This window comes from Homo sapiens, chromosome 19, assembly GCF_000001405.40.
Source record: "Homo sapiens chromosome 19, GRCh38.p14 Primary Assembly".
NCBI lineage: Eukaryota > Metazoa > Chordata > Mammalia > Primates > Hominidae > Homo > Homo sapiens.
In genome coordinates, this window is record NC_000019.10 from 12,209,530 (window position 1) to 12,229,512 (window position 19,983).

A 19,983-nucleotide genomic window follows, 5' to 3' on the forward strand; every position below is an offset into this window, starting at 1 on the left:
AGTTTTTCAGTTTTAACAAATACTGTCAAAGTCATGTGAAAATTCTCACTAGAAAGAAATCCAATAAAGGCAAGTTGAGGCATACCTGTTTGTTATTCAGGAATTTGCTATAAGGTTATACTGGGGGAGGGGGTGCCATGTTTAAATTCAATGGTATCTTAAGGTAAAACTGTAATTTAAGCCCCAGTATTGATTAAGGACATGGAAATTTGCCAACTGATGCATTTCAACGGATGTTGAAGTTAATTCGGAGCCTGTTTTGTAGAGGTGTGAAACCCAGTCAGCACCCATTTATTTTTTTGCTGTTATTTTAATAAACTTTGGATTTCTAATTTGATCAAATTATGGACCTTTGTCTCAATTTTTTTCTTTTTTCTTTTGGTGATTGCAGGGTGAGGGAGAGGGGTGTTCTGTGTACCCTACTTATATTTATATCCTTCATTCTCTAGAGAGCCTCAAGTCAGTGTCATCATGGTTATGGGCCTCCCTCATGGCAGTGGTTGCTTTAGAGGGTTTCAGGACTGTGGGCTTAAGTCTGATTTAAATTAAGGGTATCTCTCTGAAGTCTCTATTCTATTCCTTTGCTCTGTTTTTTTTTTTTTGTCTTTCTTTCTTGAGACGGAGTCTCGCACTGTCACCCAGGCTGGAGCGCAGTGGCGCGATCTTGGCTCACTGCAACCTCCGCCTCCCAGGTTCAAGCGATTCTCCTTGCCTCAGCCTGAGATTACAGGTGCCCGCCACCACGCCCGGCTAATTTTTTTGCAGTTTTAATAGAGACGGGGTTTCACTATGTTGGCCAGGCTGGTCTTGAACTCCTGACCTAATGATCTGCCCACCTTGGCCTCCCAAAGTGATGGGATTACAGGCGTGAGCCACCACACCCGGCCTCCATTGCTCTATATATCTGCCTTTATGTCATGTCAACACCACACTATTTTGATTACTGAAACTTAGAGTAAGTTTTGAAACTAGGAAGAGTGAGGCTTCCAGCTTTGTTGTTCTCTTTTTCTTTTCTTTTCTTTTTTTTTTTTTTTTTTTTTTGAGACAGAGTTTTGCTCTTGTTACACAGCCTGGACTGCAGTGGTGTGATCTCGGGTCACTGCAACCTCTGCCTCCCAAGTTCAATCTATTCTCCTGCCTTAGCCTCCTGAGTAGCTGGGATTACAGGCATGTGCCACCACACCCAGCTAATTTTGTGTGTGTGCAATGGCTCGATCTCGGCTCACTGCAACCTCCGCCTCCCTGGTTCAAGCGATTTTCCTGCCTCAGCCTCCCGAGTAGCTGGGATTACAAGCATGGGCCACCATGCCCGGCTTATTTTTTTGTATTTTTAGTAGAGATGGGGTTTCTCCTTGTTGGTAAGGCTGGTCTCGAACTCCCGACCTCAGGTGATCTGCCTGCCTCAGCCTCCCAAAGTGCTAGGATTACAGGCATGAGCCTCCGTGCCCAGCCAAAACTTAGAGTAAGTTTTGAAACTAGGAAGAGTGAGGCTTCCAGCTTTGTTGTTGTTTTTCTTTTTTTTTTTGAGACGGAGTTTTGCTCTTGTTGCACAGGCTGGAGTGCAGTGGTGTGATCTCGGGTCACTGCAACCTCCGCCTCCCAGGTTCAATCGATTCTCCTGCCTCAGCCTCCTGAGTAGCTGGGATTACAGGCATATGCCACCACACCCAACTAATTTTTTGTGTTTTTAGTAGAGACGAGGTTTCATCATGTTGGCCAGGCTGGTCTCGAACTCCTGACCTCAGGTGATCCACCCACCTTGGCTTCCCAAAGTCCAGGGATTACAGGCGTGAGTCACCATGTCCAGCCTGTTGTTCTTTTTCAAGATTGTTTTGGCTATTTGGGGTCCTTTGAGATTCCCTGTGAATTTTAGGATGAGTGTTTCTGTTTCCAGAAAAAAATGTCATGGGCCTTTTGATAATGATTGCTTTGAATTTGTAGAGCATTTGCAGTAATATATTGACACCTTAACAAAATTAAGTCTTTTAAATTATGAACACAGAATGTCTTTCCATTTATTTATAGCTTTAATTTCTTTCAGTAACGTTTTATAGTTTTCAGTATACAAGTCTTTTGCTTTTTTGGTTAATTTTTTGTCATGGCGTTTTGCTGCGTTGTCCAGGTTAGTCTCAAACTCCTGGGCTCAAGCTGTTCTCCCATCTTAGGATCTTCAGTAGCTAGGACTGCATGTCTGTGTCACTATAGCTAGCTGTTTTTTTGTTTTTGTTTTTGTTTTGAGACAGGGTCTCATTCTGTCACTGCACTGTAGTGCAGTGGTGAAATCATGGCTCACTGCAGTCTCAACCTCCTGGGCTTAAGTGGTCCTCCCATCTCAGCCTCCCAGTAGCTGGGAGTACAGGCACAGGCCAGCACGTCCAGCCAATTTTTTTTTTTTTTTTTTTTGTAGTATGAGGTCTCACTTTGTTGCTCAGGCTTGTCTTGAACTTCTGGGTTCAAGTGATCCTCCCACCTTGGGCCTTCCAAAGTGCTGATTTTGCAGGTGTGAGCCACTGTGCTTGGCCTGTTTTATTCTTTTTGATGTTATTACTAATGTAATTGTTTTCTTAATTTCCTTTTCAGATTATTAACTGTTAGTGTATTGAAATGTAATTTTAGGCTGGGTGCAGTAGCTCACACCTGTAATTCCAGCACTTTGGGAGGCTGAGGCGGGTGGATCATGAGGTCAGGGGTTTGAGACCAGCCTGACCAACATGGTGAAACCCCGTCTGTACTAAAAAATATAAAAATTATCCGGGCCTGGTGGTGGGCAGCTATAATCCCAGCTACTCAGGAGGCTGAGGCAGGAGAATCGCTTGAACCTGGGAGGTGGAGGTTGCAGTGAGCCAAGATCGCACCATTGCACTCCAGCCTGGGCAACAGAGCGAGACTCCGTCTCAAAAAAAAAATGTAATTTTAAATGTTAATTTTGTACCCTGCAACTTTGCTGAATTCATTTATGAGTTCAGTTTTTGTGTACATATATGTGTATGTAATCTTTAGGATTTTCTACACATAGGATTATGTCATCTGCCAACATAATTTTATTTCTTCCTTGCCCATTTGGATGCCTTTTGTTTTTCTTTTTTTTTTTTTTCTGAGACAGAGTCTCACTGAGCCACCCAGGCTGGAGTGCAGTGGTGCAGTCTTGGCTCACTGCAACCACCGTCTCCCGGGTTCAAGCAATTCTCCCGTCTCAGCCTCCCGAGTACCTGGGATTACAGGCACCCGCCATCATGCCCAGGTAATTTTTGTATTTTAGTAGAGACGGGTTTTCATCATGTTGGACAGGCTGATCTTGAACTCCTGGCCTCAGGTGATCCACCCGCCTCAGCCTCCTAAAGTGCTAGGATTACAGGCGTGAACCACTGCGCCCAACTGGATGCCTTTTCTTTTTCTTACCTAATTACTCTGACTAGCTCTTCCAGTACTATATTGAATGGAAGTGGTGAAAGCAGTTATCCTATCTTGTTTCTGATCTTAGGGGAAAAGATCACCATGTTTATATTTCACCATTAAGTATGATAGTCTTGTAGATTCTTCATATATGGCCTATTACATTGACCTAGTTTCCTCCCATTCCTAGTTTGTTGTTTATCATCAACGGGTCTTGAATTTTGTCAGATGCCTTTTGTGTATCAATTGAGATTACTGTGATTTTTCCGTCATTCGGCTAATGTGGTATATTATATTGACCGATTTTCATAGGATGCACTGTTTGCATTCTGGAGATAAATCTCACTTGATCATGGTTTAGAAGTTTTTAAAAAATACAGATGTAGTCTTGCTCTGTTGCCCAGGCTGGAGTGCAGTGGCATGATCATAACTCACTGTAGTCTCCAAACTCCTGGGCTCAAGCAATCCTCCCACCTCAGCTTCCCAAGTAGCTGGGACTACAGGTGCATGCCACCACACCTGGCTGATTTTTGTATATTTTGTAGACACAGGGTCTTGCTATGTTGCTTTTCATATGCCTGTTTGCCATTTGTATGTCTTCTTTTGAGAAATGTCTATTCAAATCCTTTGCCTATTTTTTGACCAGATTATTAGATTTTCTTCCTATAGAGTTGTTTGGGCTCTGTATATATTGTGGTTATTAACCCCTTGTCAGAGAGGTAGTTTGCAAATAAATATTTTCTCCCACTCGGTGGGTTGTATGTTCACTTTATTGATTGTATCTTTTGCTATGCAGAAACTTTTGTAACTTGATGTGATACCATTTGTCCATTTTTGCTTTGGTTGCCTGTGCTTGTGGGGTATGCCCAATAAATCTTTGCGTAGACCAGTGTCCTGGAGATTTTGCCCAGTGTTTTCTTGTAGTAGTTTTATAGTTTGAGGTCTTATATCTAAGTCTTTAATCCATTTCAATTTTTGTATATGGTGAGAGGTAGGGATCTAGCTTCATTCTTCTGTACATGGATATCCAGTTTTCCCAGCACCATTTGTTGAAGAGACTGCCTTTCCCCAGTGTATGTTCTTGGCACCTTTGTCAAAAATGAGTTCACTGTGGGTGTATTGATTTATTGTTGGGTTCTCTTCTGTTCCATTGGTCTATGTGTCTCCTTTCATGCCAGTACCATGCTGTTGTGGTTACTATAGCTCTGTAGTGTAATTTGAAGTCAGGTAATGTGATTCTTCCAGTTTTGTTCTTTTGGTTTAGGATAGTTTTGGCTATTCTGTGTCTTTTATGGTGCCATATAAATTTTAGGGTTTTTTTTTTCTATTTCTGTGAAGAATGTCCTTGGTATTTTGAGAGGGATTGCATTGAATCTGTAGATTGCTTTAGGTAGTGTGGACATTTTAACACTATTGATTCGTGTAATCCATGAACATGGAATATCTTTCCATTTTTTGGTGTCCTCTTCAATTTCTTTCCTCAGTGTTTTATAGTTTTTATTATAGAGATCTTTCGCTTCTTTGGTTAAGTTGGTTTCTTGGTAAAATTTAATTTTACATGTGGCTGTTGTAAATGGGATTAATTTCTTATTTCTTTTTCACATTGTTCACTGTTGACATAGAAATGCTACTAGTTTTGTATGTTGATTTTGTATCTTGCAACTTTACTGAATTTGTTTATTCGTTCTAATTGTTTTCTTGTGAATTCTTTAGGTTTTTCCAAATATAATGTCATATAATCAGCAAACAGATAATTTGACTTCTTCCTTTCCAATTTGGATGCCCTTTGTATTTTCCTCTTGTCCGATTGCTCTAGCTGGGACTTCTGGTACCATGTTCAATGACAGTGTGACAGTGGGCATCCTTTTTGTGTTCCAGATCTTTCGAGAAAACGCTTTCAGTTTTCCCCCATTCAGTATGATACTAGCTATGGGTCTGTCATATATGGTTGTGATTATGTTGAGGTATGTTCCTTCTATACCCACTTTTTTGAGGGTTTTTATTATGAAGGGATGTTGAATTTTATCAAATGCTTTTTCAGGATCAGTTGAAATGATCGTATGGTTTTTATCCATCATTCAGGTCATGCAATGTATCACACTGGTTCATCTACATAGGTTGATCCTTGCATCCCAGAGATAAATCCCACTTGGTCATGATGAATGCTCTTTCTGATGTGTTGTTGAATTTGGTTGGTATTTTGTTGAGGATTTTTACATCAATATTCATCAGTGATATTGGCCTATAGTTTTGTTTTTTTTGATGTGCCTTTGGTTTTGTTATCAAGGTAATAGTGGCCTTGCAGATTGAGTTTGGAAGTATTCCCTACTCTGTTTTTTGGAATAGTTTGAGTAGGATTGGTATTAGTTCTTTAAATGTTTGGTAGAATTCAGCAGTGAAGCCGTTGGGTTCTGAGTTTTTCTTTACCGGGAGACTTTTTATTATGGCTTCAATCTTGTTACTTGTTATTGGTCTGTTCAGGTTTTGGATTTCTTCCTGATTCAATCTCAGTAGGTTGTATGTATCTAGGAATTTTTTACATTTTTTCTATTTTTTCCAATTTATTGGCATATAGTTACTCATAGTAGCCACTACTGCTTTGAATTTTTGTAATATCGTTTGTCTTCTTTTTCATTTCTAATTTATCTGGATCCTCTTTTTTTCTTATTTAGTCTGGCTAAATGTTTGTCAATTTTGTTTAACTTAAAAAATTGATGTTTTGGCCAGGCGCAGTAGCTCATGCCTGCAATCCCAGCACTTTAGGAGGCTGAGGTGGGCAGATCACGAGGTGAGGAGTTCAAGACTAGCCTGGCTAACATGGTGAAACCCTGGCTGTACTGAAAATACAAAAATTAGCTGGGTGTGGTGGCGTGTTCCTGTAATCCCAGCTACTAGGGAGACTGAGGCAGGAGAATTGCTTGAACTGGGACCTGGGAGGCGGAGATTGCAGTGAGCTGAGATCGCACCACTGCACTCCAGCCTGGGCTACAGAGCAAGAGTCCGTCTCAAAAAAAAAAAAAATGGTCTTTTGTATTTTCATTTACTTCTGCTCTAATCTTTATTATTTCTTTTCTTCTACCAATTTTGGGTTTGGTTTGCTTTTGTTTTCTAGATCTTCAAGATGCATTGTTAGATTGTTTCAAGTTCTTCCTCTTTTTTTTTTTTTTTTTTTTTTTTTTGAGATGGAGTCTCACTCTGTCACCAGGCTGGAGTGCAGTGGCAGGATCTCGGCTCACTGCAAGCTCCGCCTCCCGGGTTCATGCCATTCTCCTGCCTCAGCCTCCCGAGTAGCTAGGACTACAGGCACCCGCCACCACGCCCAGGTAATTTTTTGTATTTTTAGTAGAGACGGGGTTTCACCGTTTTAGCCAGGATGGTCTCGATCTCCTGACCTCGTGATCCACCCGCCTCGGCCTCCCAAAGTGCTGGGGTTACAGGTGTGAGCCACCGCGCCTGGCCTCTTCCTCTTTTTTGATGTAGGCATGTAGTAGCTATAAACTTCCCTCTGAGTACTGCTTTTGCTGTATCCCATAGGTTTTGGCATGTTGTGTTGCCATTATCATTTGTTTCAAGAAGTTGTCCCATTTTCTTAATTTCTTCATTGACCCACTGGTCATTCAGTAGCATATTGTTTAATTTCCATGTATCTGTATAGTTTCCAAAATTCCTCATTATTTATTTCTAGTTTTATTCCATTGTGGTCAGAGAAGATGCTTGATATTATTTCAGTATTTTTTTAAATTTTTAAATTTTTATTTATTTATTTATTTTTAGACAGAGTCTCGCTCTGTCACCAGGCTGGAGTGCAGTGGCGCAATCTCGGCTCACTGCAAACTCCGCCTTCCGGGTTCAAGTGATTTTTCTGCCTCAACCTCCCAAGTAGCTGGGACTACCGGTGCATGCCACCACACCTAGCTAATTTTTGTATTTTTAGTAGAGACAGGGTTGCACCATGTTGGCCAGGATGGTCTCAATCTGTTGACCTCGTGATCTGCCCACCTTGGCCTCCCGAAGTGCTGGGATTACAGATGTGAACCACTGTGCGTGGCCTTTTTGAATGTTTTAAAACTCATTTTGTGAACTATATATGGCCTATCCTTGAGAATGATCCATGTGCTGAGGAAAAGAAGGTATATTCTGCAGCTTTTGGATGAAATGTTCTGTAAATATCTATTAGATCCATTTGATCTATAGTGCAGATTAAGTCTGATGTTTCTTCATTGATTTTCTGTCTGGAAGATCTAAGTCTGAAAGTGGGGTGTTGAAGTATCCAGCTCTTATTGTATCAGGGCCTCTCTCTTTAGCTCTAATAATCTTTCCTTTTTATATCTGTGTGCTCCAGTGTTGGGTGCATATATATTTACAACTGTTATATCCTCTTGCTGAACTGACCCCTTTATTATTATATAGTGACCTTCTTTGTTTCTTCTTAACAGTTTTTGTCTTGAAATCTATTTTGTCTGATATAAGTATGGCAACTACTGCTCTTTTTTGGTTTCCATTAGCATGGAATATCTTTTTCCATCCCTTTATTTTCAGTCTGTGTGTGTCTTTATAGGTGAAGTGTATTTCTTGTAGGCAGCAGATCAATGGGTTTTGGTTTTTCATCCATTCAGCCAGTTTGTGTCTTTGGATTGCAGAGTTTAGTCCATTTATATTATTGTTATTGATAAATAAGGACTTACTCCTGCCATTTTGTTATTTGTTTTCTGGTTGTTTAGTGGTCTTCTCTTCCTCTTTTCCTTTCTTCCTGTCTTCCTCTAGTGGAGGTGATTTTCTCTGGTGATAAGATTCAGTGTCTTTTTATTTTTTGTGTATCCATTGTTTTTTCGGTTTAAGGTTACCATGAAGCTTGTAAATACTATATTTTAACTCATTGTTTTGAACTGATAACACCATTTGCATAAACAAGCAAAAAGAAAATAAAAACTCTACAACTTGGTTCACCCCCTTTTAACTTTTAGTTGTTTCTATTTATATCTAATTGTACTATGTCTTGAAAAATTATGTTTATTATTTTTGAGTTGTTCACTGTTTAAGTCTTTCTACTTAGGACAGGAGTAGTTTATGGGCTGGGTACGGTGGTCATGCCTGTAATCCCAGCACTTTGGGAGGCCGAGGTGGGTGGATCATGAAGTCAGGAGATCGATACCATCCTGGGCAACATGGTGAAACCCCATCTCTACTAAACATACAAAAATTTTCTGGGCATGGTGGTGTGTGCCTGTAATCCCAGCTACTCAGGAGGCTGAGGCAGGAGAATCACTTAAACCAGGGAGTTGGAGGTTGCAGTGAGCTGAGATCGTGCCACTGCACTCCATCCTGGCAACAGAGCGAGACTCTGTCTAAAAAAAAAAAAAAAAGTAGTTTACATAGCACAGTTACAATGTTACAATATTCTGTATTTTCCTGTTTACTATTACTAGTGAGTTTTGAACCTTCAGGCGATTATTTATTGCTCATTAATGTCCTTTTCTTTCTGATTGAAGTGCTTCCTTTAGCATTTCTTGTAGGACTGGTCTGGTATTGATGAAATCCCTCAGCTTTTATCTGGGAAAGTCTTTATTTCTTCTTCATGCTTGAAGGATATTTTCACCAGATATACTCTTCTAGGGTAAAAGTTTTTTCCTTCAGCGCTTTAAATATGTATTGCCACTCTCTGGTGGCCTGTAAGGTTTCCACTGAAAAGTCTGCTGCCAGATGTATTGGAGCTCCATTGTATGTTATTGTTTCTTTTCTCTTGTTGCTTTTTAGGATCCTTTCTTTATCCCTGAACTTTGGGAGTTTGATTATGAAATGCCTTGAGGTAGTCTTCTTTGAGTTAAATCTGCTTGGTGGTTTATAACCTTTTTGTACTTGGATACTGATACATATCTCTAGTTTGGGAAGTTCTCTGATATCACTTTGAATAAACTTTCTACAACCTTTTTTCTACTTCCTCTTTAATTAAATCTTAGATTTGCCCTTTTGAGGCTATCTTCTAGATCCTGTAGATGTGCTTGTTTCTTACTCATTTTTCTTGTCTCCTGACTGTATATTTCCAAATAGCCTGTCTTCAAGCTAATTCTTTCTTGTTTGATCAATTCTGCTACTAAAGGAGTCTGATACATTCTTTAGTAAGCCAGTTGCATTTTTCAGCTCCAGAATTTCTGCTCAATTTTTAATTATTTCAATTTCTATGTTAAATTTATCTAATAGAATTCTGAATTCCTTTTCTGTGTTCCCTTGAATTTCTTTAAGTTTCTTCAACACAGCTATTTTGAATTCTGTCTGAAAGATCACATATCTGTTTCTCCAGGATTGGTCCCCTGGTGCCTTATTTAGTTCATTTGGTGAGGTTATGTTTTCCTGGATGGTGTTAATGGTAGTAGATGTTCTTTGGTGTCTTGGCATTGAAGGGTTAGGTATTTATTTTGGTCTTCACTGTCTGGGCTTATTTGTAGCTGTCCTTCTTAGGGAACGCTTTCTAGATATCTAAGTTATATCTGCTTTAGGGGGCACCCCAAACCCAGTATGCTGTGGTTCTTGCATACTCATAGAGGTGCTGCCTTGATGGTCTTGGACAAAATCTGGGAGAATTCTCTGGATTACCAGGCAGAGACTCTTGGTCTCTTTCCTTATGATCTCCCAAACATAGTTTCTTTCTCTCTCTGTTCTAAGCCACCCAAGGCTGAGGGTGGAATGACACCAGCATCCCTGTGGCCACCACCACTGTGACTGCACTGGGTCAGACCTGAAGCCAGCGCTGCGTCTTGCCCAAGGCCTGCTGTAACCACTCCCTGGCTACTGCCTGTGTTCACTGAAGGCCCCTGGGGTCTACAATCAGCAGATGGCAAAACCAGCCAGGCCTGTGTCCTTCCTTTCAGGGTGACGAGGTCCCCTAAGCCCCAGGTGAGTCCAGAAGTGCTGTCCAGTAGTCAGGGATTAGAGTGAAAAAAACCTTAGAAGTCTGCCTTGTGTCCTGTTGTATTGTGGCTTGGCTGAGCTGGCACTCAAACTACACAAGTCCTTCCCTCGAAAGGCAGAGGAACCTCACCCCATAGCCACCGCCCCAAGCCACAAGGAGTTCTGTCAGAGTACTGCTACTGCTCATGTTCCCTTAGGGCTAAAGGTCTCTTAAGTCAGCTTGTCATGAATGCTGCCTCTTCAGGGCAGTGGGCTCCCCTCTAGCCCAGGACAGGTCCAGAAATGCTATCGAAGAATCAAGTTCTAGAATCAGGGGCCCCAAGAACCTGCTTGGTGCTCTGCCCCTCTGTGGCCATGCTGGTGCCTAAGGTGCAAGACAAGGTCCCCTTACTTTTCCCTCTGCTTTTCTCAAGCAGAAGGAGTTTTCCTCTGTAGCCACCACAACTGGTTATGTGCTGAGTCTCACCTGAAGCCAGCAAGTCTCAGAGGCTCACCAAAGGCCCTTCATGTAGTGCCTGGGTATCGTTACTGGTTATTCAGGGTCCAAGGGCTCTTCAGTTAACAGGTGATTGCTGGCAGGACTGGGTCCTTCCCTTCAAGGCGGTAGGTTCCCTTCTGGCCCAAGGTGTGTCTAGAAATGTCCGCGAGCTAGGCCCTGGAACAGGGGCCTCCTGATTCTGACCAGTGCCCTGTCCTACTGTGGCTGGGCTGGTATCCGAGATGTAAGATACAGTCCCCCCAATACTGTCTCCTCCCTCAAGTAGAAGGGGTCTCTTTTTTAGCTGACAGCTGTGCAGCCTGGGGTTAAAGGAGGGGTGATCCCATATGTCACCACCCCTCCCTGCCCCCTGTCGGTTCACTGACTCTGGGCCTAATTCAGCACTAGGACTCACCTAAGAGTTGCAGTCCTCATGGGCTAGACTGCCTTTCAACTTTACTTGGAGAGAGAGAGTGCTGCAGCCCTCAGCAATGCGGTTTGCAGGTGCTTAAGTTCAGACCACTGGGATCAGCAGTTCCTCCCTGGCTAAGGCTGGTTAAGTGCCCCTCCGTGGGCAGGTATCAGCTGAATTTGGTCTGATTTTCCTTTCTGCTCTAACAGGACAGCACTGAGTTCAGTGCCTCACAATTGCTGTGTTCTCCCTCCCACAGCACCTAGACTTGCTCTCTGCATGATGCTGCTGTTGCTGGGGGTGGGAGAGGGGTGCTGTTGGTGATTCAGGACTGTTTTTTAAATCGCTTCATTGCCTCTTTCAGCGATATGAAGTTAAAACCAGGTACTATAAGTGCTTACCTGATTTTTGGTTCTCATGAAGGTGTTTTTTCTGTGTGATAGTTGTTAATTTGGTGTCCTTGCAGGAGGATGATCAGGGGAGCTTTCTATTCCGCCATCTTGCTCTGTCCCTTTCTATAGTTTAAAATATTTGAGGTATGTTAGGGAAGGTCTCATCTTGTTTTTCAGAAAGCAAAACTGTTTTTATTCATTATTCCTATAACATTTGGTGAATATGTATCACTACACACCTCAGAATGGCTAAATTCCAAAATATAACACCAAATGCTTCCAAAGATGCAAACAAAGGAACATTCATTTCTGTGGTAATTCAAATGGCAGAGGTTGCAGTGAGCCGAGATTGCGCCACTGCACTCCAGCCTGGGTAACAGAGCAAGACGCTGTCTCAAAAAAAAAAAAAAAAAAATCACAAAGTGATCCCATTTCACACAAACTACAAACTAGATAGGCAAAAATACATTATTCCACGACTGGCAACACTAGAATTATCTAAATATACATGCAAGAGTGGTGGGACGGTCAATTCATGTACTCCATTGGGACTTGGTGGCAATCTTAAAGTTGCTCAGAATCTACAACCCAGCAAGTTTTCTCTAATGTATAGAGAATTTACTGTGCACAGGCACATGGGGACTTAAAGTATGATTAGAGCAGCATTTTCCATAAGAACAAAACACAAAATTGAAGCAACATGAATCCTATAGATACTGGAATGGATGAGCAAATTGGGTAGCCCAAGCCTCAGACACCAGCATGTGTGAAACAACTGGGACAAAAACCAAGGAGACGCCCATCCATGATTTCCTTCCACAGAAAGTGCTAAAGAGGCAAACTTAAGCAAAACACTGCTTGGTGATAAAATAATGGCATAGCCATAAAGAATATCCACAAAATTAAGGGCAGTGGTCACCTCTGGGGACAAGAGGGAAACAAAGTCAAGGTGGAGCAGCACTGGGAGCTGTGACATGCCCAGGGTCTGTTCATTCTGAGTGCCCAGTCTACGGAAGTTTACAGTTATGATTAAACATAAAACATTCTACGCATTCTATAAGAAGTATGCTATATTTCACTATAAAAATATAATTCAGCTGAGTGTGGTGGCTCACGCCTGTAATCCCAGCACTTTGGGAGGCCAAGGCAGGAGGATCATTTGAGGCCAGGAGTTCAAGACCAGTCTGGGCAACATAGTGAGACCTCCATCTCTACCAAAAAAATAATTCTTTAAGTTTGAAAAATAACTTTCAAATATTTATTTTGCCATGTTTTCTAACTACCTTCCCAGTTCTCATTTCACTGCCTTAGTTCAGTACAGATTTCTAAGTCTTTTAGATTGTACCTATTGCTATTCATCTTGATTACAGCAAGAAATGACTAGCAAAAGAATGGGAACATATTCAGTGTTTAATAGAGAACTGACTATATAAACTTCCATCTTTTAAAAAAATATATTTATTAAAACATTTTTTGGGGGGAGACAGGGTCTCACTCTGTTGCCCACGCTGGAAGTATAGTGGCACATAGTTCACTGCAGCCTTGAAGTCCTGGGTTCAAGTGATCCTCCCACCTCAGCCTCCCAAGGAACTGGGACTACAGGCATGTGAGCCACACAACTGGCTCAACTTCTATCATCTTGTGAACCTTTATAAAAATTAGGGAAGGCACCAATGAATATGAAAAAGCTGCAGGATTTATTTTCAAATGAACAAAAAAGCAAAGTGTGTAAACCATGTTGCCTTTTATAGTGAGGAAAGAAAAATATGTAATTTAAATTGCTTTTTATGTAAATGCCGGACAAGAAAGTAATAAAATTGTTATCTTTGGGAACCTGAGGCCACTAGACACGAATGCTAGAGGACATGCTAAGAGTGAGCCTTCAGGTAGACTGCTTCTAAATCTCAGGCTGGGTTTTGGGTGGGTGGGTGTGTGTGTGTACACACAGGGTTTTTTGTTTTTTTTTTTTTTTTGTAGAGACAAGGTCTTGCCATGTTTCCCAGGTTGGTCTTGAAGTGGCCTCAGGTGATCCTTTGGCCTCACCCTCCCAAACAGATGTGAGTCACTGTGCCCAGCCTCAGGCTGAATTTTTGAATCTTAACATTGACTATAAACAATGATTAAGAAAATTTGCATTAAGTATATTTTAATAGTTCATAAATCAAATGACTAATTTTTAACAGGTAACTAGTTCTTTGTGTTTTATGGTCCTCTAAAGAAGTTTTATGAAGTGAGCAGTATGTTTTTGTAAACCATAAAAAGTTGTTATGCACATAAAGATGGGAGCAATGGACGCTGGGGACTGCTGGAAGGGGGAGGGATGGTGGAGAGTGAGGGCTGAGGGAATGCCTGTTGGGTGCTGTGCTCACTGCCAGGATGACAGGCTCACCCATAGCCCAAACCTCAGTGTCACAGTGTGCCCATGTGACAGACCTGCATATGTACCCCCTGAATCTAAAAGTTGAAATTATTAAGAAGGTAAATTGAAATGTATTTTTTTTGTGATATGATTCCTGATGTTTGTGAGATGTGGGTTTGTGTATTCCATCCCAGGAATCTTTAAAAAATAAACGTTAACAAAAAAATTTTTTTATCACTTGAGCTCAGAAGTTCGAGACCAGCCAGGGCAACATAGCAAAACCCCATCTCTATAAAAATTTTTAAAATTAGCCAGGTGTGGTGGCATGTGCCTGTAGTCCCAGCTACTTAGGAGGCTGAGGTGGGAGGATGGCTTAGAGCTTGGGAGGCAGAGGTTGCAGTGAGCTGAGATTGTGCCACTGCACTCCAGCTTGGGCAATAGAGCGAGACATGTCTCAAAAAAAAGAAATGAAAAAAATAATTTTAAACATTTGGTTCTTAAATTACAAGTGATATTACAGGTTGCACTGCCATCACATATAGGGCATTTTTTGATCTGGGCAGAATCTTAAGGCATTAGGATGGCGTAACAGTATGAGGAGCTTCACTAACCCACTCCCCAGAGACACTTATGACAGTTACTTTAAAACAACCATTTAAAGCCCCTGAAGTCATCCTAAAGGCAAACAGCCAGTGAGGAAACCTATTCAAGAGAATCTGTGAAAATTCTGTGAGAAATGTGAGTTTGTGGTATTTAAACCCTTACTGTTCCCTGATCCTGTACCCCACATCCTCACCCCAGTGAGGTGAACACTCCACTCTAGACTGTGTAGCCAAGGATACAAGGTTCTCTCTTTCTAGTGTAAGAGTTAGAGTTAAAGAGGAAAGAGGCTGGGCGCAGTGGCTCACACCTGTAATCCTAGCACTTTGGGAGGCCAAGGCAGGCAGACTGCCTGAGCTCAGGAGATCGAGGCCGGCCTGGGCAACATGGTGATACCGTTTCTACTAAAACACAAAAAATTAGCCAGGCATGGCAGCCTGCGCCTGTAATCCCAGCTACTCAGAAGGCTGAGACAGGCGAATCACTTGAACCCAGGAGGTGGAGCTTGCAGTGAGCTGAGATCACGCCACTGCACTCCAGCTTGGGCAACAGAGCAAGACTCCGTCTTAAAAAAAAATTAAATTAAAAAAAAGAGGAAAGAAACACCGAACACTGCTTGACAGTCAAAGACAGGTTTATTATAGAAAAGACCTGAGAGAGGATTCTGGCTGGTCAGTCAGGAGCACTTTTCCTTGCAGACTAAGAATGTACGTTGGTTTTAGGGTGAGGGAGCTTATTACAAGCTTGGAATGTTTCTGTGTGGGGGAGAAGTTTGTGGCAGGGTTGGAATGTTCTGGGCGGAGGGGTGGTTATCTTGGGGGTGACATCTTTCCGGCAGGAGAGGGGTTATCCCGAGGCTAGCATTTCTCTGTGGGAGGTGTCTGGAATGTTTTTGGTTGGAGATGTTATTTGTGGTTTGTGATCATGCTGACCTTAGCCATTAGGCTGATGCCCTTTGGATTTAGGCAGTTTTTGATTAAGGTGAATTTTAAAATGAGGCGCTTATCCACAATGGTGATGCTTCTGCTCTGTCAATCCAGACCTCATAGTTATAAAAAGGACGAGGGGCGGCATGTTCTTTCTGGCTACTTCCTGCTGACGAGGGGACAGAGAGTTCTCTGGTATCGGGTTGGTAGGAGCAGTGCCGTCTGTAGATATTTTTGGGTAGTTGTCTGTGAAATGGCCATGATCCTGTCAGTTTAAAAAATCTCTGAAAAAGGTTAATTAGGCAGGGTAAGAACATTAGTCCCATAATTAGGTATATTATTAGGAGAGGGCCCAGGAATGGGATGACCCATGCTATCTATGATTTTGTTCCCAAACCAAGAATCTGTTTGTTTGTTTTGGTACTCCTTAGCTTTTTAGCTTGTTTTTTTTAATAGCGCTTTTTACTAGGTCTGATTGGCTGATATAGAAACAACATTCCTTTCCTAATAAGAGGCAGAGGTGCTGGTTTGGAAAGGCCCATGTGTTATTTTCTGTTAGTAACCATTATTCCCGCTATGAGGATAATAATTAAGCGAAATGCTATGGTAATTGAGATTCTGTGTCTGATATTTTACCCTGAGGGTGCTACAGTATATAGTCCTACTGCAAATAGTAGAGTGAGTAAAGCAATTCCCACACGGGTGGCGTAGTAAATAATTTCCATTAAAAAGTTTTAATATTTGGCTTAAAAGGAGAGGTAGGAACGATAAAAGTATTTGATGAGGTAGGGGTGAGACTGAATAGGATGAGTAATTCTCTCTTGGTTACTTATTTTAGCTTAAGGTTTCCTATTTATTTCCTCCGGTGAGAGTCGGGGGCTTAGAGGCAGCGCCTGCTGAAACATCAAGTTTTCAGTTTATAGGGCTTTCAGAAAGCACAGCTATTTTGGAAACTTGTAGCCAGAAAAATTAGAATTTAATTTAAACAGAAAATAGTAAGAATTGAAAAACATTAGGCAACACCAGGATTTAACAACATGTGTGCTATCGTTTTTGAAACATAATTTTCTCTCTCAAGTTTACCATTTTCATTAAAAGACAAATCATACCAGTAGGACTGATTTTCTTTATTATACTTGGCTTAGTTATTTGCATACAGTGGAGCAAGAATAATTATTTGTTACTTAGGTCCTTTAAATTGGCTTTGATGGAACTTTGTTTTGTAGAAGGAATGTGAGATAAGACCTTTTTAAAGGCAAGGCCAGCCATAGATTTGTACCACTGAATACCTATGAGTTGGGAGAAATCCTCTCTTCTTGAGGTTCTAAGATAACTTGGGACTCCTGGCCTGTCAGAAAGTGACATTCTTTACTTACCACAGATCGGAAACCCTGTACAGGGACTGTACATGAAATCTGAGGCCAGCTTTCCAAGGGCTTTATTGGCTCCATAAGTCAAATTTGATTCCTTAAAGGAAGGCACACCATTCCAGTTAAAGCCTTGGTAAAATAACCAGTTTTCCCAATTGTGTCCTGTTACAAAAGAAAACAGATTCTTGTTGCACTTATGCAAATAACTATATTACCCTAACTTAAGAATACATACAGATAGTTTCCAAATTCTGGAGAAAATCAGGTAGAGAGAAACAAGAATGCTCCAAATTTTGTTCATGGAAGCATACTAAATTGTTAAAAGCTGTCAATAATTCAAAAGAAAAGATTCTTGGACTTTGAAAAGCAAAACAAAGAATTAGCAATATTTTAAGCAATACGTTAAAAAGATCACTCCAGGCTGGGCGTGGTGGGTCCCATCTGTAATCCCAGCACTTTGGGAGGCCAAGGTGGGTGGATTACCTGAGGTCAGGAGTTAAAGACCAGCTGGGTAACATGGGGAAACCACATCTCTACTGAAAATACAAAAATTAGCCGGGTGTGGTGGCGAACGCCTGTAATCCCAGCTACTTGGGAAGCTGACACAGGAGAATCGCTTGAATGTAGGAGGAGGCTGCAGTGAGCCGAGATCATGCCACTGCATTCCAGCTTGGGCTACAGAGCAAGACTCTGTCTTAAAAACAAACAAACAAAAAAGATCACTCCAGTCTCCTGCAGTTTAGTTCATGCAGTTAATTCCTGTCCTGATTCATATTAACATTTTAGCTTTTTAAGAGTTCTGAACGTTTTTCCTCTATTGTGATATCACAATTTTCAGAAACTTGCATTCAAGGGCACCTGTTAGACCTTTATAGCTGATTATAAAACCACCTTTTTAAAGAGGACCAAAACAAGACAACAATTGTTTATGGATGACAGAAAGTTTTAGGATAGGCCGGGCGTGGTGGCTGATGCCTGTAATCCCAGCAGTTTGGGAGGCCAAGGCAGGCAGATCACCTTGAGGTCAGGAGTTTCAGACCAGCCTCACCAACATGGTGAAACTTCGTCTCTACTAAAAATACAAAAATTAGCCAGGTGTGGTGGTGTGCACCTGTATGTAATCCCAGCTACTCTGGAGGCTGAGGCAAGAGAATTGCTTGAACCCAGGAGGCAGAGGTTGCAGTGAGCCAAGATCGTGCCATTGCACTCCAGCCTGGGCAACAAAAGTGAAAATCCGTCTCAGAAAAAAAGTTTTAGAATAGCCATACTTAAAGACGCAATTGACAAGGATATCTGTTACCTTTGTGGCACACAATAATTTTAACATAACAATTATAATTATTACTTATAAGGTACACTAAGATATGTCAGAATTATAGGAGTCTCCCATAACTTTGAAACACATACCAATAACATACTTATACAAATATAGCCCAAAGAAAGCCAAACACCATTTTGTATTTGACAATGCTTCCTGTATGATTTTATACCAAATATGCCAAATTTTACCATTATAGTAGTGTGCTATGAATATTAAACTCCATTTTTAATAAAACCTTGTAGATGCATTTACTCAATTTTAATGTTTGACCATAAGGTAAGATTTTTATAGACCCTTTTTAACCCTTTATAATTTTTGTTAAAAAGCAGGTTAGTGCTTAAGAGAAACCCGTTGTGTTTTTATTTTAATGCTCAATTTACAGAAAAACTAGATGCTACCCCTTCAACTTTAGCCAATATGTTTACACAGAATTTCCTTTACAATTAACCTGCCAAAACGTGCTTAAACCTTCAAAACAATTGTTTAACTTAACTTTTTTAAACCTTCAAAACAATTGTTTAACTTTTTAATGTAGGTAAAAATCCACATTCTCATGCCTCCTTATAATCTTTTTACCAAAAGTGTATTTTACTTTCCTTACACACTTTCCACATAATTAACTTTCAGTAAAGTTTACTTTTGTTGAAAACCTTGGTAAGTTTGGGATTTTAATTATGTACTAGGTGTAGAGCCTAGGACCTAGACTTCTGTGCAGATAAGGTCTGGCTTAGTCCAGCATTTAATTCCGTGTGTCCTAGGTTTTACCTAGCTGCAAAGCAGGCAAGTTGTACAGGTAAGAGTTATAGGGGCATTTTATAAAGCAGTCAGGAGGCCTAATCACTTTTAAATTGTACATTTCTTGCATAAATTCCATTTATAAAATTTTTCATGCCTTTCACAGTCTGACATGCCTCAACTTTCTGACTTGTTGTAAACATCTCTCTCTTTAAACAACCAGTTAATTTACTTTAGTACAAAAATTTACCATATAAAATTTTTAAATATAAATTATCTTTTAATATAAAAGATACCAGTCCTTTCCCAAAACAAACTTCCTTCATGCCTGTGGACTAGACTGCCTAAGTCCATAAGATTAGAAGTTAGGATATTAAATGGCTTAGGATGTAGCTATTTTCATTAAACCAATATTAATGTTTCACTTATTAAAAAATTATACAAAGATTATTTTGTTTGGGCTGAGTCATAGTTTTGTTTGTTTTGATACCTTATAGTATTTGGCAGAGATAAGAATGAAATTGCTTGATTAATAAATGCAAACAAAAACATATGCTGGTAACTCTTAAGACAGTTCTAACTTTACTGTACCAGTAAGTTTTAAAGATTAAAGTCATGTGAACTGAAAGATCCCACAGCTTTTACTTTTCCCTTAAAAATATTTGATTTAAGCACTTATTTTTTTTGCCAATTATAATTAGAGTTCCTTTAATAGACATTGCACACATAACACATATATAACCACACAGACAACCAGAAGAAGATTCAGTAGTTACAATATTTTTTTTCTCCTAATTTCCCAATTGGCTTATTGGCCTTTGGGTGGTGCCCTTTAAGAACAGGGCTAGGAAAACAGTTTCCAGGGCCTAATAAACAAGTAGAGCTGGAAGACAAAGATTTTGAGAGGTACTTATTCACCTTTAATTCCAGGGGTTCCATAAGGAAAACAGATTTTTCCCAAAATGGGATTTGTGGTGCCTTTTCTGTTTTCCCAAGGGATCCCAGGCCACCAGAAACCGTTTTAGGATTTTATACATGCACCAAGAGTGGCAAGACAGAGTGGAAAAAAGTAATTCAGTTAACTGGGAAAA

The 19,983-nt window shown here is 40.6% G+C and overlaps 1 protein-coding gene and 1 pseudogene across 2 annotated transcripts in view; one reads left to right on the forward strand and one right to left on the reverse strand.

The window, feature by feature from the left end:
- Positions 1-19,983, forward strand: part of LOC100289333 (uncharacterized) — a 43,633-nt pseudogene that overhangs the window by 14,515 nt on the left and 9,135 nt on the right. The window lies entirely within an intron of this gene.
- Positions 15,157-19,983, reverse strand: part of ZNF44 (zinc finger protein 44) — a 70,198-nt gene continuing 65,371 nt past the window's right edge. The window contains exon 8 of the transcript XR_007066867.1: positions 15,157-15,750. The gene's annotated coding sequence lies outside the window, so the exon portion shown is untranslated. The remainder of the gene's footprint in view (positions 15,751-19,983) is intronic.